Genomic DNA, 27,195 nt, shown 5'->3' on the forward strand with positions numbered 1-27,195 from the left:
TATGCCCCTCCCACCGGGTGTTGTGAGAATTAAATGAGATTAAACACATGTGCAGTACCTAGCCAAGGGGCAGCCGGTTTGAAGTACTCAACAAGTATTACCTCTTCCTGTTTCCACTCCCACTCTTTTCCCTTCTCCCTCCCCTTGGACGTGAGGAATGTGCTTTATGCCAACGCTTGACTTAGCAGCATTTTGTGATGTTCTGCAAAGAGGGAGGCAGTGCTGGATGGTGGAAGCAGCATGTACTTCAGAGTAGGACAGACTTGGGTTCAAATTCTTGCAGCTCGCACTGGTGACATGACTTTGTACAAAGCATTTATCCTTTCCAAGCTTTAATCTCCTTCTGTGCAAGATAAAACTGTATTAGTTTGGTTCTCCAGAGAAACAGAGCCAATAGGATATCTACATATATACAGAGAGAAATATAAGAGGAGATTTATTATGAGAATTGGCTCACGATTGTGGAAGCTGAGAAGACCCACTATATGCTGTGTGCAAAGTGGAAAACCATGAAAAATGGTAGTGTAATTTAGTCCGAGTCTGAAGACCTGAGAACCAGGGGCACCAATGTCCAAGGGCAGGAGAAGATGGATGTCCCAGCTCAAGCAGAGACCGAGAGAACTCCCCATTCTTCCGCCTTCTGTTCTGTTCAGTCTCTCAAGGGATTAGACGATGCCCATCCACTTGAGTGAAGGTGATCTTCTTTACTCAGTCTACTGATTTGAATGCTAACCTCTTTCAGAAAAGCCCTCACAGACACACCCAGAAATCATGTTTACCAGCTATCTGGGCTTCCCTTAGCCCAGTCAAACTGACAAAGTCAACCATCATGAACAACAACCACGTGCAGTTACCGTGATGATTAAACGAGCTGGCACCTGCAATCCTTCTCAGCACATGCCTCTCACACAGTAGGAGCTTGACAAATATTAGCCTTAGAAGATTCCAGCAGCCAACGTGGCAAGTGTGAGCACCCCTGGGCCTCACTCCTTTCCCCCTCTTAAGCTCATTGCTCTTGGCTCCTCTTTGTTCTTTTGTTCTCAATATTTTCCAGCCTCCTTGCATTCTACTGGCCCCGGAGGAGGTTGTCTTGGGTAATCGTCTGGGTAATATTGTAATGGGTAATCATTTCATCACCCATGACAAACGGACCTGCCTTAGAATTGTGGCTCCATTACTCACAAGCCAAGTGACCTGAACCAGAGGGTTCACACTTCCTCCTTGGATGTGTGTGCAAATCAAGTGAGAAAATGCAGGGAAGAGCTGAGGGCAGAGTCTGCACACAGCAGCCCTCGGGAGGGTAAGTCACACTAACTATCCATGGTGTACTGTGTGTCTTTCCCCGACTCTGCACCCAGGTACTTCCGCTCTGCCCTCAGTCACTGCCTCCTGATCATCTTGGGCTCCTCTCCAAATTTATATTCACCGAGTCCACAGCAGTGTTGATCCTTGCATCTAGGATAACAACAAAAATAAGGGTCCTTTTAAGGCACAACTGGAAGGGGTCCTCATTTCCTGGGGGAAGCTGGATGGGTCAGAGCCAGGACAGAAGTCCAGGCCAGTGAGCCCCAGCACTCAAGGTGAAGCAGATGATCTCTTATCCTGTCTTTGTCCATTTTACTTAAAGCAAAGCTCATAGCCATCTCTCTCCCTTAATCAAAGCAATTGTTATTTCTGCTAACTCGCCCTGCGGACATTAATTAACTCTCTGCCAAGCATGGCCAGATACCACGGAAGTCAGTACCCCATGAGACAGGAGGGCTCTCAGAGCATCACACTCCCAACATATGCAACAGAAAGCAGTGGCCATTTGTCCACTGCTCCTGTGTCCCTGATGGCCCAGGCAAGCTGGGAACTTTGGCCCCTAAAAGGAAATTATCCTGCCTTCCTAAAAACCAGAGGAATGCCTTTGCTGCTGAAAGGATTTCAAGTATTAAAATCATGACTTCTGCTTGTATTTGCCTTGCCTGTTTACAACTCACTGACCCCTACATCACCTCACCTATTAGAGTTGGAAGGACCTTAGAAAAAAGTCATCTGGCTTCTTCATTTCACTGCAAGGAAATGAGGTTTGAAGAGGCTGTGAGACTTGTTCAGGGTCATCGGAACTGCATTTCGCTGAGCCAGAATGAGATTTCAGGCCCCAGGGTTTCTTCCATAATTCTCTGGGAGGTCTCAGCCTCTACTCTGGAAGCAAGCACTGGCATGGAGTGGACTCTGAGTTTATCCATTTCTCAATTAGCATTTATTGAGCACCTACTGCGTGCCAGATGCTGTTCTGGTAACTCATATATATATTGTTTCATGGGATGATCTTGCCCAGCTTTGGATCCCTACCAGCAGTGGCACACAGTAGGTGCTCAATAAATGTGGATTTTGTCTTCTTTGCCTTGGGAGCCATGTTGTGGGGTTGAAAGAGAGTGGGTTTTGGAGTCAGTCTGGGTTTGAATCTCATCCTTGTCAGCTTTTTGGCCTTTACCTTTCTAAGCCCCAGTTTCCATATCTCTAAAATGGAGACTACAACTAAGTTGGAGTACAGTTATAAGTTTCAAAGTTACTGTATGCAAAGAACCTGGTACTCATAGTAGGTGTCATTGGACCTGCTGTTATTGATATTGTTACCATCTTCAAGGAGCTGACAATCTCAGAAGCTGACACATACCTGAACAATCACAAAGCAAAGCAGACTGTGGTACAAATCACAGCAAAGACCAGGGGTGAGCTAGGGAGGTTCCAGGGATAATCTTATGCCTGGGGATGATGGAAGGCTTCCTGGAACAGGGGCCATGGAGTTGAACTGATTGATGTGGAAGGGAGCAGGGATGCAAACAGCAAGGCTACAGGTGAGGAGGCAAGAGGTGCAGCAAGTGCTCAGGTCCAGGAGGGAAGGAATCTAGGATTTTTGGAAAACTGAAAGTTCAGGGGAGTGGTGGAAGATACATTTTGAAAGATAAGCAGGAGGCCAGAAGCGGTGGCTCATGCCTATAATCCCAGCACTTTGGCAGGCCGAGGCAGGCGGATCACGAGGTCAGGAGTTCGAGACCAGCCTGACCAACATAGTGCAACCCCATCTCTACTAAAAATACAAAAATTAGCCAGGCGTGGTGGTGTGTGCCTGTAATCCCAGCTACTCGGGTGGCTGAGGTAGGAGAATCACTTGAACCCGGGAGGCAGAGGTTGCAGTGATCTGCGATCGCACCACTGCACTCCAGCCTGGGCGACAGAGCAAGATTCCATCTCAAAAAATAAATAAATAAATAAATGAAAGATAAGCAGGAGCCAAATTGTGGCAACAAAAGATTGGGGATCTAATTCTGCTGGGAGTGGGGAGTCATAGAAGCATCTTGAACAAAGTAATGATATGAAAAGAGCTAAGACTTCAAGTGAGAAAAGGAAGGCCCAGTGTAGGGAGGAAACTGGGGAGGGAAAGAAGAAACTGGATACAACACAAAAAGCAGAGGTAAAATAGGAGGACTCAGCCACAGACTGATGTAGCAAAGAGGGAGAGAGAGGTGAGGAGTGCAGGAAGTTGAGAGAATGGTGATGCCACTGATCTAAGAGGGAAAGTAACCAGTATTGATTAGAGACACAGAGAAAGAGAAAACAGAAGGGTATCTTGAAAGGAGGCCTGGGGATACCTGTCCATGCGGAGAGATGGGTGGAAAGAAAGACACTGAAGACACAGGAGAGAGAGGCTAACTGAGAGCAGGATCTTGGACAAGGCCAGAAGCCCCACTGGGGCCTTGGTCAGGACGTGGAATGGGGAGTAGAAACACAAAGACACAAAAGAACTTTACGTTGGAGAGAAGGAAGCTTGAATTTATTGATACTCTCATCCATTCCATCAACTTCCACGACAGCCCACCACCTGCCAGACAGTACACTAACCCTTGCCAGCTTGCACTGGACTGTCTACAAGTTAGAGACAAGGCTGCCTGCTAAGGGAAAGGGGTTGGGGGTTCTTAAGAATTTGTTTAAAATGCCAATTCCAGCTGGGCACAGTGGCTCACGCCTGTAATCCCAGCCAAGGCGGGTGGATCACTTGAGGTCAGGAGTTCAAGACCAGCCTGGTCAACATGGTGAAACTTCATCTCTATTAAAAATATGAAAATTCTCCAGACATGATGGCACATATCTGTAATCCCAGCTACTCAGGAGGTTGAGGCAGGAAAATCGCTTGAACCTGGGAGGCAGAGGTTGCAGTGAGCTGAGATTGCACCACTGCACTCTAGCCTGGGTGACAGAGAGAGACTCTATCTCAAAAAAATTAAAACAAAATAAAATGCCAATTTCTTTGTTCATCCTGCAAAGATACCAATTCACTATCACTCTCCAGGTGGTTCTTTGGGAAGTGTCTTAAAACCACAGTTCAAGAAATCAATTTAGAAACTTGCAAGAGTTTTGAGGTCACGGCTGAGGTCCCAGATTTGTAGAGGACCCAGGCTTCACACTTTATAGTCAGCCTAGGAGATGGGGAGGAGGCAGTAAGTGGGGCTCAACCACATCCATTACAAACACAACCCACATCCATTGGGATGAACAAGGAGGCAACGAGGGAAAATGAGGGGGAGTATTGCAGGAATGGCTAAGGGAGCATTGTGAATGGCCCAACTCTAGTCTCCATTAGGCTTTGCACATCCCCATTTCTGACTTCATCTTCCAACCTTGCCCAACCCCTAAAAATATTTCAAAGAATCCCAGGGAACTAGATTACCTAAGGCTTCTAAGTATCCTTCAGCTCTAGTATTTAATTACAATTACACTTAACACATATCCAACAATCAAACCTGTTCAAAGGAGGAAACAGTCCTAGTGATAATGCTTAATGTTTGTGGAGAACAGTACAGCTTTCAGAGCAATTCCATGCATGTTACCGTACATTACATCATGTCAGCATTCCTCAGTGAGTGACTCATAGCCCACCCATACCAACATCACCTGGGGGAATGGTAGAAATGGAGAATTGTGAGTCCCAACCCAGCCCTACTGTATCAAAACCATCTGGAGGACCAGGACCCTGGAAGCTGAACTTTTAACATGCTCTGTAGTGATTCTGAAGAAAACTACAACTTGGAAGCTGTGATATCTTTGTCCCCAGTTCCTGGCACACAGCTTCAAAAACTCTTGGAATTTCCTGATAGGAATGTATTTTGTTATTCATAACAAGCCCTTTTTGACCACAGTAAAGTGTATAAATGCTAATGGTGAGCCCTTAGAAAGTTTCAAGGGAGAGGCTGGCCATGCTAGAAAGACCAAGCGTGGGATTAGAGTTGGAACTTTCAGCCCCAGCCCCCAGCTCTAGGGAGGGGAGAAAGACTGGAGATTGAGTTCAATCACAAGGCCGTTGATTCAATCAATCATGCCCACATAATGAAACTCATATAAAGACTCTGGACACCAAAGCTCAGTGGATCTTTCTGGTTGGTGAATATATTAATGTGCTAGAAAGGCGATTTCACAAGGAAAGGGCATGGAAGGGTGAATATATTAATGTGCTAGAAAGGCTATTTCACAAGGAAAGGGCATGGAAGTTCTGTGCACCATCGCCCTACCTTGAGCATTTTGTTGTTCCTGACCTGTATCCTTTAAGGTAAAACTGTAATGGTGAGTACAGTACTTTTAGTGATTCCCGAGAGTTGTTCTAGAAAATTATTGAACCTGAAGGAGACTCATGCAGTCACCTGAATTTGTAGCCAAGTCAGACAGAAGTGCAGGTAGGCTAGTGACGGAGTGCAGGAGACACTACTCCAAAATATGGCATCTTGGCATACTGAGTATTTTAAGCTAAAAGAAACTGAGAAAACAGCAGAGGCAGGAAGTTTTCTCTATCTTTCTCCACCCCCTCTGTCCTGAAACAGATCATAGAAAATGAAATGCTCCTCACTTGTTCTTCCCTGAAGCAAGCCATAAAACCTGAGAAGGTCACTCTCTGACCTTCTCCCTCCCTCCTCCCCTGAAAACCCTCACATGACAGGCATCCTGGCTACACTCAGAGGAAAGAATGATCACACAGGGATGCCAAGAAGAATCTGAACAAACAGGCCTCACTAAGCTTCCCCTAGTTTATTACCATGAGAGCACACTCTTTTGTTCTCCAATCACACTTCCACATGACTGTCCGTAAAAATACAGTTTTCCCTGTGTCTTTGGACCTTCATTATTGAAGGCCATGCAAAAACTTGTATTGAATTATTTGCCTGCTCTTCTTTCTCATTAATCTGTCTTTTGTTACAGGATCTCAGCCATGAACCTTGCAATGAGTGAGGAAAAGATATTTCTTTTTTCTCCCCTGCACTGGGGACCCCATTTGCAAGTGATATCTGAAGTAAGGATGGTTTCGTTGGTGACCTGGCCCTTTAACTTGTGGGATCTGATGCTGACTCCCAGTAGTTAGTGTCAGACTCCAGTAGAATTGCAGGACACCCAGCTGTTGTCAGAGAATTATTGCCAGAACACAGAATTCATGGTCTTATATAAGCCAAACCACACTCTTGGAAGTTATGGACTAATATCCCCACATGACAGCTGGGGAGACTGAGAGACAGGGAGGACAAACGACTCACCCACAGACAGAGAGCCATTCTGGGGCAAAGCAGGATTATGCAGTCAGGTAATGCCTCCTCCCTCCAGGGCACAGCTGTCCACCATGGCCCAAGTTCATGGTAAAACCACATGGCTTGGAAACTGGAACCTGCCTTGGGGGGTCACTTAATTCAACCCATTAGTGCCAACTGCCAGGGAGGTAATGAAAAAGAGCTGAGGCCCTCAGACCTCTGCAAGTTTAAATTATACCTTTCTGACTGTGTGTGTCTTATATAATCCTCAAAGATTTTTAATTGTGACAGCCTAAGGAAATTACAGGTGACTTGAAGCAATTTAATGATAATAAAAATAAAATAAAAACAGTAAACAGCACTGCTGTTCCCTCTAATTTCCCAGCATCTTTATCATATAAATGCCTCCCATTCTTTTCCCCACAGACAATTAATGAATCTGCAATTGCCGCTGGATGCGGTGCTCACCTCTCCTTAATTCTCTTTCTGTTGCAGCTCCACTTCGGGAGGAAGTCCCTCCCAGCTGCACTTTCAGGGTTCTCACAGGTTAGCCAGACTGCAGAAGCTGCCCCCAAGAAGCACTGGGGCCTCCCCTCCTCCACAGACTGGACTTTCCTCTCTTGCTTCTCACCCAAAGGGCCCAGAGCTGGCTTCTCCAGCCAAGTTTCTCCAGGAGCCCTGCTGATTTGAGCAGCCACAAATTGACCTTCTCTCAGGGTGTCTCCTTGCCTTCCTCCTGGTGTTAATATGCACCTTAAAGAGCTGCAAACTCAACAAGTCTCTGTTATGCAGGTTAATTCAGAGCACAGCCAAGCTGTGATCAAATGACCTTTACCCACTTCCCTGCTAATTTTGATGGGCAGCTCCATTTTCCTTCTCCCTCCTGATCCCCCCTTGCTCTAAATTGGAAATCTATCAATTTTGAGGTAAATGGAAAATAAAGATACACAGGCACACACAACATACACATACACACACACACACACACACACACACACGCATACACACTAACACTAAACATCTAGTTGTTGAGACTTGGACCAGATTGAGCCTTTTAAAAACAAAAATCCTAAACTCCTAAATCTCAAAAGAAGGCTGTAGTTGGATCCTGAGTTGATGTCAAAATAAAATAAAGATTCCAAAAGAGAATCTCTTCCCCTCAATTTTATTTCTTGCTTCATTAGTGGGATATTATAATAATAATAAATAAGGAGAATAATAATAAAAACTAACATTTATCAAGTGCTTACCAGTCACCACTCAAGGATTAATTTACTTAATTTTCCTGACACTTTTATGACATAAGAATTATCCCTATTTTATGGAAGAAGAAACTAAGGCTTCAGGAAATTATGGAAATGCTTAAGGACTCACATAGTGGCAGGGTGAACAGCTGAACCTGGATGGTCTGATTCCAAAGCCAGGTCTTGCTTTGTTACAATTAGGTTGGTGCAAAAGTAATTGTGGTTTTTTGCCATTGCTTTTAATGCAAAACCGTAATTGCTTTTGCACCAACCTAATAGCAATGTCACCCGCTAGGAATCATCATATCAAACCTTAGTGTTCTCATCTACAAAATGAGGATAAGATCTCCCTCACCAGGCTCCTGGGAGGATAAACTAAATGGAGATGATACTTCAAATGCTGCTAATTGCTGTCAGTTCATCATTATTATAATTATTATTATTAATTCAATTAATCAATTACTTATTCAAATATTTCCTATCACCTACTATGTGATCTAGGCTTTGATCTATGCCTGGGGATACAAACGTGGTCAAAATAGATAAATACCCCTGTCCCCAAGGAGCAGACGTTCAAGTTGGGGACACAGACAAGAAATAAGGAAAATATATAGCATGTCAGATGAAGCTTAGTGCTAGAAAGGAAATAAAGTGAGAGAACCGAAGATGGAAGGGTTGCAATTTTACATTTGTTGGTCAAGGAAGACCTCACAGAGAAGATAATACTTGGACAAAAGTCTAAGGAAGTGAGGAAGCAAACCAAATACTTATCCAGGGAAAGGGCATTTTAAGCAAGTGCAAAGGCCCTGAGGCTGAACCAGCAAGGAGGCAGAGTGGATGGAACAGAGGGAGGGAATAGGGAGTGGGAGAGATGAGTCCAGAGAAGTAAAGATGTGCGTGAACCATGTAACACATTGCAGGCCACTGGTCTGTAATCTACACACCACGGCAGGGGGCGGGGGAGGGGAGCGGGCGGGGCATGGAAGGATTTTGAGCAGAGCGGAGACACTGTCTAACATTTATAAAGGGTCACTCTGACTGCTATAAGGGGTAAGAGCAGAAGCAGGGAGACCAGATAGGAGGCTGTTGCCATTCATCCAGATGATGAAAGACAGCAGTTTGGACCAGGGAGGTAGCTGTGGAGGTGATGAGATCTGTTTGGATTCTGAATACATTTTGAAGGCAGAACCAAGAGGATTGCTGATGGATTGGATATTTAGGTATAAGAAAAGGAGGAGTCACTGATGACTCCAAGGTTTTTGACCTGAGCAGGTGGAAGATTGGAGTTGCCATTTACCAAAATGAGGTCAAGTGGGAGGAGCAGTGTTATGCTTTGAATTTTGGCCCCCCAGAAAGATACATTGAAGTCTTACCCCCCAGTACTTCAGAATGTGATCTTATTTGGAAATTGGGTCTTTGCAGATGTAGACAAGTTAAAATTAGGTCATTAGGGTAGACCCTAATCCAATATGACCGGTATCCTTCTAAAAATGGAAAGTTTGGACACAGAGACCCACAGACAGGGACAGCACCAGGTAAGGACGGGTGTGATGCTGCCACCAGTCCAAGAACTATCAGGAGCTGGGAGAAGCCTGGAATGGGTGCTTCCCTAGCACCTTCAGAGGGAGCACAGCCCTGCTGACACCTTGATCTTTTAGCTTCCAGAACTGTAAGACAGTAAGTTTCTGTTTTTTCAAGCTGCTCAATTTGTAACACTGTTGCAGCAGCCCTAGTAAACTAGCAGGTTTGGAGGACAGATCGGCACTTCATTTTTAGGCATCCAAGTAGAAATGTGAAATAACAACTGAGTATGAGTCTGGAGTTCAGGGCTGGAGACACACATTTGAGTGTCATCTTATCTGCTATGAACTTATGACCATGGAATTGGATGAGATCACTTAGAAAAGATGTCCAAGGATTAGGCTCAGGGGCATTCCACCATTAAGAGAACAGGGAGTTAAAAGCAGTTGGTGAGGAAAGAAGGAAACTAGGAGAGGTCAAGTTCTGCAAGGTGAGTGAGGAAAATGTTTTGAGAAGTAAACAGTCATCAGCTCTGTCCAATGTCAACCATGAGTCAAGTTGGATGAAGACAAAAAATTCACCACTAGATTAAGCAATTTGGAGCTCTTGGCAATGGCAGTTTCAGAGGTGGGAGGGAAGTGTAATTAGAATGGGTTGAAGACAGAATGGGAGGAGAGGAATTGGAGGCACAAATGTGGACGACTCTTTTGACGAGTTTTGCTAAAGGGAGATGTGGGGTCGAGAGAACTTTTTTAAAGGTAGGGGAAATAACAGTATGTTTGATGCTGAGAGAAATGATGCAGCAGAGAGGGGGAAACTGATGATACAGGAGAGAGCAGGGAGAATGGCAGAGGGATGCCCTTGGAAATCTGGCAGGGGTGGGATCAGGTACACTCATGGAGGGGCCAACCTTGCCCAGAAGCATGAGTAGTTTACCCTTGGTGACAAGAGAGAGGCCAGAAAACAGGCACCGATGCATGGGAGGGAGGGGGTAGATGTTGTGGTGGTGACACAGGAGGTGAAGTCACTGAGAGTGAGGAGAGGGAGGAGGCATTGAAGCTTTGGGGAGGGCAAAAGGAATGAAACAGCCATGGAGAAAAAAGGGAGAGTGAAAGGAGTGGGAAAGTATGGGAGGGTGGATGTAGCACACAGAGCCTGCCTGAGCTGAAGTGAAAGCAGACAGATTAGGATGTACTTTTCCCCAGCCATTCAGCTGCACAAATGTAAGCTCCAAGTCAACAGACAGTCGGGCTTTATCAGAATTGGGGTTTTGTTCCATGAATATAAAGACATGAGGAGCAAAGGAACTGAGGGGTATGCAAAAGAGTGGTTACAACGATGGACTTTAAGCTGGATAAGGATAAAAGGTGGGACTGGAGAAGGGCGGAAAGCACCAAAGGGTATTTGGATGGAAGGATTGTACGTGTCAATGGGGGAAGGATTGTTAGAGTCAGGGTACCAGAGCTTGTGAGCCAGAAGGATAAAAGTAGGGGTCAGAGAGTGGGCCCCTTAATATGCATCTCTTGGAAGAGGGAAGTTACTGACAATGACAAGGTCCAGGGTATGACCATGAGGTGAGTGGCTGGGGCAGGATGGAGAACAGGCACATTGGAGAAGAAGGTCAAAGAACTGAGACGTCAGGGTCCTGGCAGCATCATCGATACTGAAATCACCAAGAAATATGAGAGAGGTCAGAGCAAAGAGACAGTAAGCCAGGGGCTAAAATCTTGAAAGAATCAGAAGTCACCAGGGGTCATTAGGTAACTACATCACCTGATGACATAAGTTCCACTGCTGGGGGAGCATAGCAGGGTGGGTGGGGCAGTGGCATTCTTTCCAGGAGCACCAGGAGTTCTGGGATCCCCAATCACTTCTGCCAAAGCTGATGTGGAGGGGCTTGTAGTTATATTATAAATATTATTATTATTATTACTACTACTGCAGTATCAGCCAACCTCCTTAACTATAAATAACCCAATCTACTAGTTCTTGTGAAAACACCCTATTTATTAAAGGATATAGGTAGCTCCCAGCAACTCAGAGGCTACGTCCAAAGCCACACAGTCAGGACTCATGCCCAATCTCACTGGGGGTGCTCTTCCGGGAATTCGCCCCCCTCCATTTGCCTGCTATGATGCTCAGGACTTGATGTCAGAAGCCACAACTGTCTTCAAAGAACCAAACTCCTCTACCACTGCGCTGCCCAGAAAAATGATCCCCCTCTGCCTGAAGCTCCGCATACTGTCCACCCTCTAAACAAGTCTCTACAGATAAGCCTAATTGGCCAAACGTCAGTCACAAGCCAGCCGCAGCTGCAAGGGAGCTGAGATGCAAGTCTTCTGGCCCCTACCTTAGGAAGATTATCAAAATCTGTACGAATTACCCAGCCTAAGAAGGATGTTCAAAGATATTGGCAAAGCACAAATGTCAAATATTTATTGCATGATAATAATAAAGAATTTTTATTGTTATTATGTCTGATCTTTGCAAGAAAGAGATGGGGAGACCTCTGTGTAGCCACTTCAGCAGCAGAATCTCAGAGGAGGTTACTAACCTTCCAGCAGCAGTTGAGAACACTATTTCTATTGATCAGCGCCAAGGTCTCAATAAGCCACGTGCATGTTCTCAGATGGGCCTGAGCCTTCCCAGATAAGATCAGACTTGTTTAGAGCTCACTGCACAGCAAAGCACACTCTTGAATCTGGAAAGACAAGATGATAAAGGCTCCTATTTACTCAGCAGCTCCCATGTGCCAGCCACTGTAATCTTCTCTCGGCATGCATGATCTCATTTAATCCTCAAGGCAACCCTGTGAGGAAGGTAGTAGGATTACCATATTACATTTAAGGAGACAGAAGCTTAAAGAAAATATTAGTAACTTGCTTGTGACCCCCATCCCCCCACCCCTAGCTGCAAGGTCACCATGTGCCTATGTGCAAGCCGTGCACTGCACAACTCCACAGTGCGTAACTGTACTCAATGTGAATGGCACCACCTGGAGTTGTGCCGTGCACAACCTGTGTGCTTAAATAGATCATCTCTGCCTGCCTGATTCCAAAGTCCATTTTCCTCACAACCATATTACCAAGTCCAGTAATCAAAGTCTTTTAAGTAAGTGCTCCTTAAGGTCAGGGAAGATTTCTTCTTTGTATCCACAGAGAGTAGCACAACGCCTGGCACATAGCAGGTGCACAATAAATGGCTGCAAGATTAAAGGCTATCAAAGCTGAACATGAATGTGCTCATCAACTCCTGAATCACTGGATCTACAGAGGCACCACTTGAAGCCTGAAATAGGTAGTTTAAAACAAATGAAAGGAAGAACTACTGCTTTGCACAGCTGGTTGTCAGCTTATAAAACTCATTAACCCAAGAGGTGGTATAGGCAGCAAATACTAATGGACTCCAGGTGTGTCTAGGAAAGTTCAAGGCTTCTACAACCATAATGTACTATTAAGGAGAGTAGCCAAGAAGGGGACTAACATTGTTTGAGCATCCACTATGTTCCAGGCATTGGGCTAGATGGAACACATTATTACTCTCTCCAAGTCTGTTTCCATCTATATAAAACAGATCTAATATTACCTACCCATTGGGGGTTTAGTGATCATTAAGTCAAATCATGTATGTAAAGCACTTAGCACAAGTCTAGCACGGTGTTAATGCTCAACAAATGTTAACTATTATTGCTAGAAGTAATCATCATATTATTATTATTAACAAATAAAATTGTGTTTACATTTCACTAGTAGGAAACTATTGCACAAAATCTGCGTCTCATACTAGGAAACCAGGTTCAATTTTCCCTTCATATGGACACTTCACTGATCAAGACTAAAAAACTAAGCTTCAGCTTTAGGGATTGCACATAAATAGAAAAATAATTTCATCATGTTTCTTCCTTGTGATTTTCTACCAGGGTCATCTTTTGCTAAAGGAGCAATATACTGATAATTCCAGTTTCATGCCTACCACCTCCTCTAATTTCTACCAGGTGCTTTCAGAAGACAGACACTTTGCCAGGCACTAAAAAATACATATTCAGATGAGACTTTTGCCTTCCTGTGTAGAGATTTTTGTGCAGTTTGTGGATATTGTGGTACATGGACAAAATGAAAATAGATTAATATTACTAGAAGCCAGAACTTGGAGAAAATCATCTCTAATTTCCAGCTTAGTCATGCTTAGAACCAACCTTCTTTCCTAAAAACCTGAGCATAGGCCCTTAGAGGCCTATCATCCTGTACTGTGAGTTTCTTGAAGGCGATGATCACTCAGTTATGTATCATTTCTTCTCTGGATCCATAGACCTCATCATAGTGTATGGTACAAGGTAGATTGTGCTACAGAGAGAGGGGGACAGAGGCAGAGACAGAAAAGATGATGGATGGACAGTGGAAAGATGTATAGATGGATGGATGAAGGAAACATGAATAGAAGATGGGTGGATGGATGAACAGTGGGAAGATGGATGGATGGATGGATGGATGGATGGATAAAATAACATAGTATAATTAACATTAGCATAGGCTCTAAAGTGATATTAGGTTCCAAAACCAGCTCTGCCATTATTCAGCTATGTGGCCTTGAAAACGTTGCTTAATCCCTCCGGGCCTTAGTCCCCTTATCTGTAATATGAGGATGATCATAGTTCCTACCTTGTAAATTTGTTGCAAGTTTTTTTTAATTAGGTGAATACGTGTAAAGCACACAATACACATGCACTTATCCATCAGCAAATGTTTATCAATTCTACTATGTGCCAGACACTGATCTAAGCACTGGGATTACAATGTTAAAATAGGCAAAAATCACTGCCTTCATAGAGTTTACATTTTAATAGGGAAAACAGTTTAAACACAATAAATTAGACAATTATACTTACATTCTAAGTAGAAGGTGAGTGTTTTAAGGGGAAAATGAAACAGAGTAAGGGGTGGGGAAAGAGTTTACAATTTAAATCAAAGTAGGGTGATCCTCACAGAGACTAGGACATTTGAAAAACAACTCTAAGGAGTGAGGAAGGGAGCCATGGGGCTATCTGGAGGGAGAGCATTCCAGGCAGTGGAAACAGCTAGTGCAAAAGCTCTGAGGCAGAAGGGGCTGCTATATTTGCATTGCAGACAAGGCTGGTGTGGCTGGAGCAGTGGGAAAGAGCAGCAGAAGGTGAGTTCTGAGCGGGGATAGGAGGTCAGGTCCCATAGGGCACTAGAGGCCACTGGAAAGCTCTGGCTTTTTTTTTTTTCTGAATGAAATGAGAATCCCTTTGTAGAGTGCTGAGCTTCAGAGGGAGATGGTCTGACTCACCCTTTAACAAGGTTATTTGTGGCTATTGTACAAAGGGCCAGACACCTAATTTGAACACAATGGCAGCTGTTATGAATGCTTAGCAGAAACCGTTACCTTCTTGGGGGTCTTAGCAAAGCTGCTTGGCTTTCTAATTCCTTACGCCATCTGCTTTCATAGACTTAGCAAAGGGCTCTGCAGAGTTGAATAGAAGGAGGAAGTTGGCACTTCCAAGTAGAAGTTGGCACTGCAACTCTTCATGGATGGGTCACTGTCAAGCTGCTCCCTGGAGTGTAGGAGAATGGGCATGCTGTGAACAGGGGTTGTGCCACACAAGGGAGAGACTTTGAAATTGCTCCTAAGGGATGCTTCCGCCATAGCTGTTAGGCAGCCTCTCCTGAGCCAGAGGGATGAGCGCATCCTCCCAAGGTTGTTGGTGACAGCACTCACAAGGGTCTTTATACCACCCTGACATCTCCTCCTCCTCCTTTTCCTTCTTCATCAACATCATGTTTATCACGTCTATGTCGTTATCTTTGTCAATATTATCACCACTATTATCACTATGTATTTATCGCTGTGGCAAGCACTTCACATGCATTCACTAACTTGCGCTCCACAATAGCTATGTGAGACCAGTACTATCAGCCCCGCTTCATCCAGGAAGAAACTGAGGCCTGAAAAGGTGAGTTAGCTTGCCCAGGGTCTCACAGCTGGTATGTGGCAGAGCAGGACTCTGAACACAGGCCATCTGGGTCCACGGCTGTTATGCTACCTGCCTACAACTGGAGCCTGTTGTTCTTTTTCACTCGGCCTACCTGAAAAGGTTGCCAGTAAGCCCCTCGGGACACAGAACAGGAGGAATAGTAAGGCAGGGTGGAAAGGACAAACAGCCGAGTGAAAGGCAGACCTGGCATCTCACTCCAGCGAGCTTGACTACGAGGCAAAACTGGGTACGGATATCCATGCAGGTGTGAGCATGTGCAGATAGATGCATTTTTAAAAGGTAGATTTGGGTGTGGTTGTCAATATGGATCTGGCAGTAGACAAGGCTTACATGATGCTGGGAGGAGGACAGTGTTTGTGGTTTAGGGCACCAGCTCCAGGAGCAGATCCTAGCTCTGCCCTTCACCAACTGGGGGACCCTGGAGACCTTCATCTCTTTATGCTTCCATTTTCTCATCTATAAAATGAAAGTAATTACAGTACCTACCTCAAAGGCTTAAGAGAATTAAATGTGCTCAGGCACAATGTAATTGGAAAACCAACAAACAAATTATAAATTATAAAACAAGTAAAACCAGTATCTGATACTCACACCAGACATGGCCATGGACTGGCCAGACTTTTAAAGGGAATTTGAGCTACAGATCAAACAGAAGGGACACCTTGGAAGCCTGGTACTGACCTTTGGAATTAAGAGTCATGAGACTAGGGGCATGTCTCAGGAGTGTCCACATCAGGGAAGGTTCCTGCAAACACCTGTTAGAGGTAGGCTCAGGCTTCTGCCCCACAGGAGCTCCCCGAGGCAAAGGAAAGGCTCCCAGTTATACTGCAACTTCCCGGAGCTGCCTCACTGTCCGCAGCTAGCCTGTCTAGCCAATGTTCATCCAGTGTGGCCGGGTCTGCCTTGGTGCCAGGTGGCTACAAAGCATCTTCTGGTCATGAGCTCTCATTTCCCTCACTCTGAGCATGGAGGAATAAGGTAAACAAAGCAGCCTCTTAGGGTCACCCCACCGTCTAGAGGAGAGCAACTGATCTCTGAGAGCAAGGGCTGTGTCTGCGGTGTTCCCCACTGGTTCCCCGGCACATAGCACAGTGCCTGACACAGAGCAGACATGCAATCTCTGTGGAAGAAAGGAATAAAGAAATGATGGAAGGGCTCCCTCTTATTCTCTCAATCTCTCTGTCTCTCTCTCCCCGCCTTTTTCTAAAAAAAAAAAAAGAAGGAATGGAAGGAAGGATGAACATGTTGAGCTTTTTAATAAATAATACCTTTGGTTTTTCACCTGACCAAACAAATTTGCCCACCCTGTGGGAAGTGGCACTGATTTTTCTGGTCAGGAAAGGAATATGAGGTATGCCTGGGGGATGGATATAGTCATAAGGGCCTCCACCAGGAGGACGGCACCTTTCCATCACAAACACCATCCCAGCCCCTCCTTCGGGCAGATCCTGCCTCCTCAGGAGCTTCTCTAGAAGCCCTACCCCTGTCAGGTATAAATAAAACAAACCATGTTACTGCATGTGACTCCATCTGTTAATTAACAAATAAATCAGCCCCGTCTCACCAATTAAGAAAAGATACCTGGGACTGCAAAATGTGACTTATTCCTCTCGGTGATAATGAAAGGTATTTGTCACAGGCCTTAAGGTGATGGGGGCTGCCCACCTCTCTTCCAGCCCCTGCCCTGTTCACACAGCCTTAATTCTCTCCCTAGGACCTGACAGAAGGCCCCAGACAGCAGCCATGCCGGGGCCTCACCTGCCACAGCTATCTCTGTATGAGGCAGTGACCAAGACTGAAGCAGTTGGTCCAAACCGCTAAGGGCTACATTCCTCCAGCCCTCCACCTCTCAGGGGAGGACAGAAGCTGAGTCTAAGGACCAAGAGTTACAGTGGTATTTCTTACACAGAGGTCTGAGAACCATCTGCTCAGAATCACCGGAAGCTTGTGAACATGCAGATCCTCATGCCCTACACAATCCCCTTGGATCTGGATCTCTGGGAGTGGGACCAGAATGTTGCAATTGTAACCTGCTCCCTGGGAGATTCTTACAGTTTGACAATCACTGATGAAAAACCTGTCTTTTCCTCTGCTTGGGAATTTAGATTTTCTTTTCTTTTCTCTGTTTTTGTTTTTTACATTGGCAAAAAAAAAAAAAAAAAAAAAAAAAGATCGGGGCAGTGCCTGGCAAATGGCACTGGGTCATAGAAGGTCTATGATGGAAAGGACCCTAGGTCAACCCTCATTGTTCAGGTAAGGAGACAAGGCCCATATTTCAGGTTAACTTCCTCCCCCTCTAAAAGATATGTTAAAGTGCAAACCTCCAGCATCTCAGAATGGGACCCTATTTGATTACAGGGTCATCAAATTAAAATGAGATTATTAGGATGGGCCTTCATCCAATACGATAGGTGTCCTTACAAAAAGGGAAAATTTGGACACAGAGACAGACATGCACAGAGGGAAGACAATGTGAAGAGACACATGGCGAATGCCACGGGCAGATTGGAGTGATGCTGTCACAAGCCAAGGAATGTGGGGACTACCAGAAGAAGCAAGGAAGAACCCTCCCCTACAGGTTTCAGAGAACATGGCCCTCCCAAACACCTTGATTGCAGACATCTAGCCTCCAGAACCATGAAACAATACATCTCTGTTGTTCTAAGCCACCCAATTTGTGGTACTTTTTTACTGCAGCCCTAGCCAACTAATGCAGCCATAAAGAAACATGGCTTGGTCAAGGCCATATAGCTAGACAGAGGCCAAGGCAGGGCGCTTAGACAAGTTCCTGACTCTCTTGGGGTTCCATTCTATCAGCCACACTGTTTTACAGTCTAAGTCTCCCCTTCCATCTCTACAAGGAATGACACCAATCCCTTTAGAAAGGCAGAGGACATGGCCATCTCCAAAGCATTCCTCCACGTGCACAAACAAGAGAGTGCCTGCTAGAGTGGTATAGTCCTGCAGTGTCCAACCCACAGACTCCAGAATCCATCAGACAGCAAAGACCATCAGGCCAGGCAAACGACCACAGTGCAGCAGCCAAAGGGCTAAATGTGGGTGCTGTTTGCAGCTGCCATGTACTCTTTGCTTCTAACCCTGTTGAAGTCCAAACTGGCAGTCAACAAACACACCAGGGACCTTTTATGAGGCTGCTTCAGAAAGGCAACATGGGGCAGGCTTCTCAGGCTGCCCAAGGAAGACTGCATTTGTGGGGGAAAGTGGGAGTTATTCCAGAATCCAGAAAGCTTCCCTTTCACCTTGTAGCATCAGTGAAGCCAGCTCCAAGGAGACAATGACAAGAACCACTAGAGACCCCACCCACTAGACAGCAACCTGTTAGTGTAAACCATCCTCATCCCCACTCACAGTTCCTTCCCTCCGAGGCCAGCCTCTGGCAAAGTCCAAAGCCTCTGACACCCACGGTATTTACCTCCACCCTTACACAGGAGGCGGGTTACGCCACAGTCATTGTAAATTGCTTCACAAGCTTCTAATCCATAAGGCCTGGATTGGGTGGGAAGAAAAGTCTACTACCAGGATGGAGAATTCCATGTGGCTGAGGAATTCTGCATAAAACAGCAAAGCAACACTCTTTAGAGCTCTTGTCCCTAGGTTTTGTTGTGGCTGATGGGAGGCAGATGCAGGATTTCTTAGTTCTCTAGGGAGATACCAGCTGGCAAAGGCTAGAGGTCCCTTAGGATCCTCTTCAACTCCAGCACCCTGGGAGCAAGAGAGGCTGATGTCCAGAAGGAGGAGGCCTCTGTAAGCAGCCATACGTCAGCAGGAGCTCCCATGAGTTGCCATTACTGCCTCAAAGGGCCCGCCATGTGGAACCTTGTCATCCCCTTGAGTAACATATGCATAGGAAAGTCATTTGTGATGAGAAAGGAGAGAGGGAGAAGAGGGAGAGGATGCAATCAAATTAATTCTAATGGCATTGATAAGGAGATGTGGAAGCACAGCCAATGACTCCATTAAAATAATGACTTTGGGTCCCTTCTGTCATCACCTAAGGTCTTCTCCCCCTCCCTTGCCCACTATATCTCCAGAGTGCTGGCAATGACCACTGTGTTGGGAGACAGGAAGGATAGCAGGGATAGAGACTGACACCACAGAGGGGGAGGCCATCTTTCCACCCACCAGATCTTAATTATCAGTGGTCAGCCCCCTTGGTTGGCAGCTGCAGGGAGGAAAATGAATCACATCATGATTATGGGAGAAGGAGACATGGATAGAGGAGGCAGGCCCAGAGAGCTTCTACCATGCCCCTCTCCCAGCCAGAGGCCCAGTGGCACCCCAGGGTGAACACAGGGCCCCCAAGCTCTATCCACATGGACCATCATGCCAGTGGTGTGCCCTGGAGATGTGCAGAGTGGCGGCCCTGGTAGACACCCACACATGTGTGGGTGGCTTCATAGGATGGCATAGGATGACAAGAAAGACATCCAGTGGAATTTACCCAGATGCCCCAGGACTACACCTGCATTTCCTTTGTTTGTTATTTTTAAATTTGTTATTTTATTATGGTGAAATTCACATAATATAAAATTAATCATTTCAAATTAAAAATTTAGTGACATTTAGTATACTCACAATGTTGTACAATGACCACCTCTGTCTACTTTCAAAGCACTTTTATCACCCCAAAAGGAAAACCCCATACCCATTAAGCAGTTACCCCATTTCTCCCACCTCCCAGCCCCTGAAAAACACCAATCCACTGTCTCTGTGGATTTCTCAATTCCGGACATTTAATCTAAATGGAATCATACAATATGCAAACTCTGTGTTTGGCTTCTTTCACTTAACATAATATTTCCAAGGTTCATTCACATTGTAGCATGCTCTCATTTCCTTTTCCTTTTTATGGCTGAGTAAATATTTCATTGTATGTATAGACCACAATTTGTTTATCCATGTCTCTCTTGATGGGCATTTGGGTTTAATCTATGCTCTGAATGGACCCAAAGCTCTCACATTCAGCTTCCCCGTGAATTAATATACCAGGTCTTGCTTCCCAGCTCTGATTCTGCCTCCCAGGTTGGACACAGCCTATCTCTCATGCATACCCTACTCTAGCCCAGCTTCCCCAGCCACATCTTTGTTCAGCCTAAGTAATGCCAAATTCAATACCCCCTCTCCAAGGAGAGCTCCCTCCCCACCAGGGTGTTCAGACTGTCTTCAGGTGAGAAAGGTAAAGATGCTTTAACCAGAGTTCTCATTCTCACCCTCAGGAAGGAGGAGATGATGTCAGCAGATCTTCTGTTTCAAATTTGGTCTCGAGTTCGCAATCCCAAACTCAATCCAGAAGAATTTGGGGCCAGGTGTGGTGGCTCATGCCTGCAATCCCAGCACTTTGGGAGGCTGAGGTGGGAGGATCACTTGAGGCCAGGACTTTAAGACTAGCCTGAGCAACATAGAGAGACCCCGTCTCTACAAAAATAAATAAATAAATAAAATATTAGCCAGGTGTGGTGGCACACGCCTGTAGTCTCAATTACTCAGGAAGCTGATGCAGGAGAATCTCTTGAGCCCAGGAGTCCAAGGCCGCAGTGAGCTATGATTGTGCCACTTTACTTCAGCCTGAGTGACAGAGTAAGACCCTGTCTCAAAACAAAACAAAACAAAAGAACAAGAACAAGAAGAAAAACTTAGACAAAGTTATTAATTTTAAACTACAGTATTTGCACATGTGTTCTGATCCTCTCAACCCCAGGGGACGGCTATCTGCTAAGCTGAGCCTGGCACAGAAGGTAGTGCCATGGGCCAGGATTCAATTTCATTGAATGCATCCTCAGTAGATACATGTTCCACGCCAGGCACCATGACATACCCAGGGAGGTACAAAAATCAGTAAGGCATGGCCAAAAGAGCTCATGCTCTGAAGGAGACACATATATGCAGGAATAGCAGTGAGACAGCAATGACAGACTCGGAGCCATAAACGGGTCTGGGAACCCCAGGGAGACAAGCTGTCTGCTGGCAGAGCTGGGGAGGGATGGCTTCTCAGAAGATGTAACTTTAGAGGTTGAAGAAGGGCGAGTAAAATGTGACCGGATGAAGGGCTTCCTGCCGGGACTGCAAGAGCAAAAGCACAGAGTAGGGTGTGGTTGGCCCTGGGGCCACTCTCCTGCTGCTGTGGCCATGATAATGATGCCCAGGAGGGGGAACGGAAGGCGGGGCTGGAAGGTACCAGGTGGTAGAGGGCTTGGGGCATCAGGTTAAGGCATTTGTCTTAAAGTCTCTACAGGTTTGTGACCTGAGGAGGAGGAGGGATCATAGTGACCCGAGGAGGAAGAATTAGGGACCTTAGAACCTGAGGAACCTAACAAGCAGCGCCAGCTGAACTTCTGCAAAAGGCTGACTTGAGGGCAGCAATCTTGTAGAAAGGGGGTGAGCAGGCTTTGAAGGCATTCGCACGGTCATTTCTGCATGAGTGAGAAGACACAGGGGAGCTGCTGGAGGCTGGGAGCCTGGACCTCCTAACACCGTCCCCACCTCAGCACCGTGCTGGTGTGAATGTGGGCACTGGGCACAGGGCTCTTGGAGAGGAAGGTGCTGTTTCAAGAAGACATGTCAGAAAAGAGTGAACACTGCATTCAAGAATAAATGTCTGTGCCCCTGTCATGCCCGAACCAGGAAATTGTCAGGAGAGCAGTTTCCCACAGAGTCTGTCCCTGTGAGGGGACTCCCACTGTTTGACACCGTCGTGGCCATTCTGAGTTTGAGGACAGCCTCCTGAGCCAAAACATCGCTGTCTCCCTTCCCTGCCCCTGGCTGAGCCTCCGGACACTCTCCAGCTTCCGTCGCTACTTGTCTCATCTCTTCTAGACCCAGCTGCCGAACTGCCCGGCAGGGTCCAGCCAAGCCTCCACCTCCTCCCCGTGCTGCCACTTGTCAGTGCCAGGCAAGAGAGATGCCAGCTTCATCCCCAGCCTGAAAGCTCATTCGGGGCACTGGAAGATGAATTATGTTTCATTTATATCAAAGAAGCAATCTCGGAGCCCATTTGTGATCAAATTTGCTGTCAGAGAAACTTTGCTTTATCTCATTACATCTGATATCTCTTGGCTTCTTGTCCTTGAGACTATTAAAGTTTAATGTCAAATTCAAGATGAAATGAAATCTTTGCTGTATCATCTCATCAGGACCTGAGCATTCCCCCTTCCATCTAAAATTTTTTGACAACTAATTACAATGGAGGTGGGGGGAAAATGAGAAACCTACTATTCCCCTCCCATTTGCTGAAAATGCCATCATTGGAAGGGGTTGCCAATGTGCACAGTGGCAGTGTGGTGGCAGAGAACAAGGAGAGGTGCTAGTCACCATTCAACTCTTCTTTGTCCCTTCACCCCAAACTCCCTATCCTCTGGAACAATGACATCCGCTTTCATTCCTAATCAGACAGAGCATTCCTGCCCCGGCACATGGTGTAGGGGAAAGCACACTGGACCGGGAGGCAGATGGGAGTTGCATGCCAGACTGTGACAGCTACATGACCACAGGCAAGTCACCCCCACCTCTGGGCATCAGTTTCCTCAACTAAAACTAATGGAGTTGGACTAGAATCATCCAGCCCCATTTAGGTGCTAGGAGGGGAAATGGATGAGTGGACAGCTGTCTCTTCTCACCAGGGAGAATAGGGGACTGTGGCTGAGAGAAGCATACATCCCACCCATAGACACTCAACTACAAAAACATTAAACACACACCAGAAAAATCACATCTGTGGGCCCTATTTACCATGACAACCCCAAGACCAGTTGATTTCCAAGGCTTGTGATTGTCTCTAACTGAGAAAAGTGCCCACAGAAAACAGGCTTCAGACTGGGAATATGCTTTTCCCTGGAAAAGAGTTGGCATTTTGATTAGTAACACTGGTTGAAATTCACCTGTACAAAACAGGACCATCAGAAGGCCCAGAGACACATAGATCTGAACTCCTAAAAAGCAATGTGCTTTAAAAAAAAAGGTTTTTAAAAAGCAATGTATTAACAACTTTATTTATTCCACAAATATTTATTAAGCATCTCATATGCTTCCACTCTTCTTGGTACTTGAGATTCAACAGTTAATTTTAAAAGACAAAAATTCTTGACTTCATGGAGCCTAGATACTGGCGAAAGGAGGACAAACAATAAACATGATAAATAAGTAATTAATTCATTTGGACTAATCTGTAAATTTTTTTTTTTTTTTTTTGAGACAGTGTCTCGCTCTGTCACCCAGGCTGGAATGCGGTGATGCAGTCTTGGCTCACTGCAACCTCTGCCTCCTGGGTTCAGGTGATCCTCCCACCTCAGCCTTCCTAGCAGCTGGGACTATAGGTGCACACCACCATGCCCAGCTAATATATATATATATATATATTTTTTTTTAGTAGAGATGGGGTTTCGACATGTTGCCAGGGCTGGTCTCGAACTCTTAGGCTCAAGTGATCCACCCACCTCCGCCTCCCAAAGTGCTGAGACTATAGGCATAAGCCACCACACCCCACCTGTTAATTCTTAAAGTGGGTGGGGTCAAGCAGTGTGGAGGCTGCCGGGATGTTGGGTGGTACTAGGCAGTGTGCTCTGCCGCCCAACTGCCTGGGCTCAAATCCAGGCTTGATCACTAACTAGCGATGGGACCTTCATCACTTTGCTCACCTCTCTGGGCCTTTGTTTCCTCATTCACAAAACAGAGACCATTAAGCCCCTCCTGGGGCTAAATAAATGTATTTATGTGAAATGCCCACAACAGTGCCTGGCACTTAGAAAGTGCCCATATCTATTAGCATAATCATGTTTCTCTGGGAACGCTTTCTGGAGAAGTTGAACTTGGACTAGCAGGCTCTAGCGCCCAAGCCTGGGGAAGGAGTGGCAGCTGCATTCGAAAGCAGAACCCGCAGCTTAGAAGAAGGTCCCAACCGAAGAAATTAGGAATAGTTTTAATACACTCTGCAAACTAGGCTCCCACTTCTCCATAAATAATTCCCCAGTCTTCTCCATTCGTCTATTCCTCCACCTAACCATCTTCAGAGGAAGTTCCAGCTCCCATCATTTCTATAGCAAACAAATGGCAAATCTTTAGTATTCTCTTCACAGGAACCAGATAACATCTTAAAACTCAGTATGTAATGTAAATCTCCAAAAGCTTGAAGACAACAATTTATTCCTTAGCCCTCTATTGGCTGGGGAAAAAAATAATAATAATCCAAATGTTTGTAGATGTTTTCTTTGAAATCAGAATAGCTGTGTGCTACAGTCAATATTCATCTTTACAACAGCCCTATAAAGTAGACATCGTCCTCCCATTATACAGGCAAGCATACTGAGCTCCAGAGATTTTAAGTAACTACCCAAGGTATCCCAGCTGGGCAACAGAGCCACAACATAAATTGCATCTGTTGGCTCCAAATAACATAATGTTAACAACATACCATACTGACTCATGAGTTTGGAGGTTCTCTCAGGTGTCAACACAATTCTAGTGAGATTTCTCACAAGAGTCTTTGAATTATGTATCCTCTTTCAGAGTATAAACTCCTTAAAAAAACAAACCACACTCAATGTCCCTTAGGTCTCCGAATGATACATATCTGTACAAAGAGCGACATAAGCCAGGGAGATAGTCTTTTTAATAAGCACTCCAGAGTTTACGTATCCAAGTTAATGCTGTCTTTTTAAGGTGGCACCTGGGAAGGCGCCTCACATTCCAGTGATGCTGCCATGGCCATTGTTGTTGTTGTTGCTGTTTTGTTTTGTTCTGTTCTGTTCTGTTTTGTTTTGTTGCAGTTTTTTATCCCTTGCAAACCTGCTCAAAGATGCTAAACCTCTACTGTTTTGAGGATAGATTCAATTTCTGGAAAAAGACCCAACTTATTTGGAACCAAATCTTGCCAGTAAGGTAGACAAGTAGTTTACATTAATTAAAAACAAACAAAAAAAAAAAAACCATGTACCTGGGGCTCAATAATACTTGTTGGCCAGGTGCAACAAATATTTGGAGGTGGGTAGATCACTTGAGGCCAGGAGTTCAAGACCAGCCTGGCCAGCATGGTGAAACTCTATCTCTATTAAAAAGACAAAAATTAGCAGGGCGTGGTGGTGTGCACCTGTAATCCCAGCTACTCAGGAGGCTGAGGCATGAGAATCGGAGCGGTGGTTGCAGTGAGCAGAGATTGTACCACTGAACTCCAGCCTGGGCGACAGAGTAAGACTCCATCTCAATAAATAAATATAAATAAATAAATAAATAAATAAATAAATAAATTGTTGACTCATAATGACAAAAAATGAAAATGAAATACACGTTGTTTGATTCTAAAGAAAAGAGACTAGTTTTATTCTTTGCCTCATAAGCCTTCTCTGAAAATAATTCCAGAAAAGAAATTCCAGAGATATTTTGAACAGTGGTGGGGTCATTGGAATAAGAGCAGTATATCTAAGGGGGTTGCTGTTGCAAGACAACCTACAGTTACAGGAGCTCTAGATGTCAAATCAACAGACATGTAAGGAGTCCCAATTCCATGCAAGACACAGTTCTAGACACCGTTTCTTGTAGCTAAATGAGAACAGAATTCTCAACGCTGCCAATCCCTAGTGGGGGAGGAAGGAGGCAAGATGCCTAGAAAAGCAATGAATACCCTTGATACAAAGCAGAACATAGACACTCCAGAAGGACTGGGGGAGGTGTCCAAGTCAGGGATAGAATCTCCTGGCTGGAGGGTCTAGGAGAGACTTTGTGGAGGAGACCGCATTGAGCTGAGCCTTAAAGCAGGGCTTCAGGCTGGGCACAGTGGCTCACACCTGTAATCCCAGCACTTTGGGAGGCTGAGGCGGGTGGATCACAAGGTCAGGAGTTCAAGACTAACCTGGCCAATGTGGTGAAACCCCATCTCCACTAAAAATACAAAAGTTAGCTAGGTGTGGTGGCGGGTGCCTGTAATCCTAGCTACTCAGGAGGCTGAGGCAGAAGAATCGCTTGAACAGGGAGGCGGAGGTTGCAGTGAGCCAAGATCACACCACTGCACTCCAGCCTGGTGACAGAGCGAGACTCCGTCTCAAAAAAAAAAAAAAAAAAAGCAGGGCATCCCACCCTTTTCATCACATGGCACTCACAGAAAATGGTAACAGCTGGGTGGCTTACTGGGACACATGGACAATGCTGCCATGGACAGGAGCACTGGCCAGGAGGGGTTCCGTGGTGGCTCCCACCATCTGGCTGCCCTCAGAGAAAAGGGGAATGAATCCTGCTGTAACCTACTTCACAACACACCAGTTGGGAAGCCCTGCCTTAGAGGGGGAAGAAATTCCACAGGTGTGTTGGGAGAAAGGGTATTGTAGGTTCAGGTGCACAAGGCGAAGAGGTGACAGTGTCAGGGGTATTCTGAAAACATGCTATCCTGTTTGGCGGTGGGGGCAGGGGGACCTAAGAAAGTAAGAAAGTTAAGACTGAGTAAGTAGGTTGAGGCCAGCAAATTGAGGGCCCTGAGTGTCACATTCTAGAGTTTGGATTTGATTCCATAGTCAACAAAGATCCTTCTAGACTTACGGATAGGGAGCTGAGTGGTAAGTTCTGGGGGAAAAAAAACCTCACAGGTCTTATGGTTTACTTAAAAACAGCCATAAATAATAAACTTTAAACAAACAGACAAATCCCAAAAGCTAAGATTCAGGCCTTTTTCCTGTGTCAAGCTTAGCAGGGTGTCCCGCTTAGAGAAAAAGGCCCAGGTGATTTAGAAATAAGATGAAAACTTCCAATCCCCAGTTTTATGGAAAAAAATGCTCTGAAGCTAAAAAGTAAACACCCATGTTTCCTCAGGAGCCCAGGCCCCTCAGGAACTAAAAGCAGGCAGACTCCATTGTGTATTTTTTGC

At 45.5% G+C, this 27,195-nt stretch overlaps 1 long non-coding RNA gene across 1 annotated transcript in view; it reads right to left on the reverse strand.

Annotated features, from left to right (window-relative positions):
* Positions 1-7,371, reverse strand: part of LOC107987166 (uncharacterized) — a 160,015-nt gene extending 152,644 nt beyond the window's left edge. The window contains exon 1 of the long non-coding RNA XR_001748403.2: positions 7,023-7,371. This is a non-coding gene — a long non-coding RNA (uncharacterized LOC107987166). The remainder of the gene's footprint in view (positions 1-7,022) is intronic.
* Positions 7,372-27,195: the final 19,824 nt, after the last annotated feature.

The sequence above is a fragment of the Homo sapiens genome, chromosome 11 (genome assembly GCF_000001405.40).
Source record: "Homo sapiens chromosome 11, GRCh38.p14 Primary Assembly".
Lineage (NCBI taxonomy): Eukaryota > Metazoa > Chordata > Mammalia > Primates > Hominidae > Homo > Homo sapiens.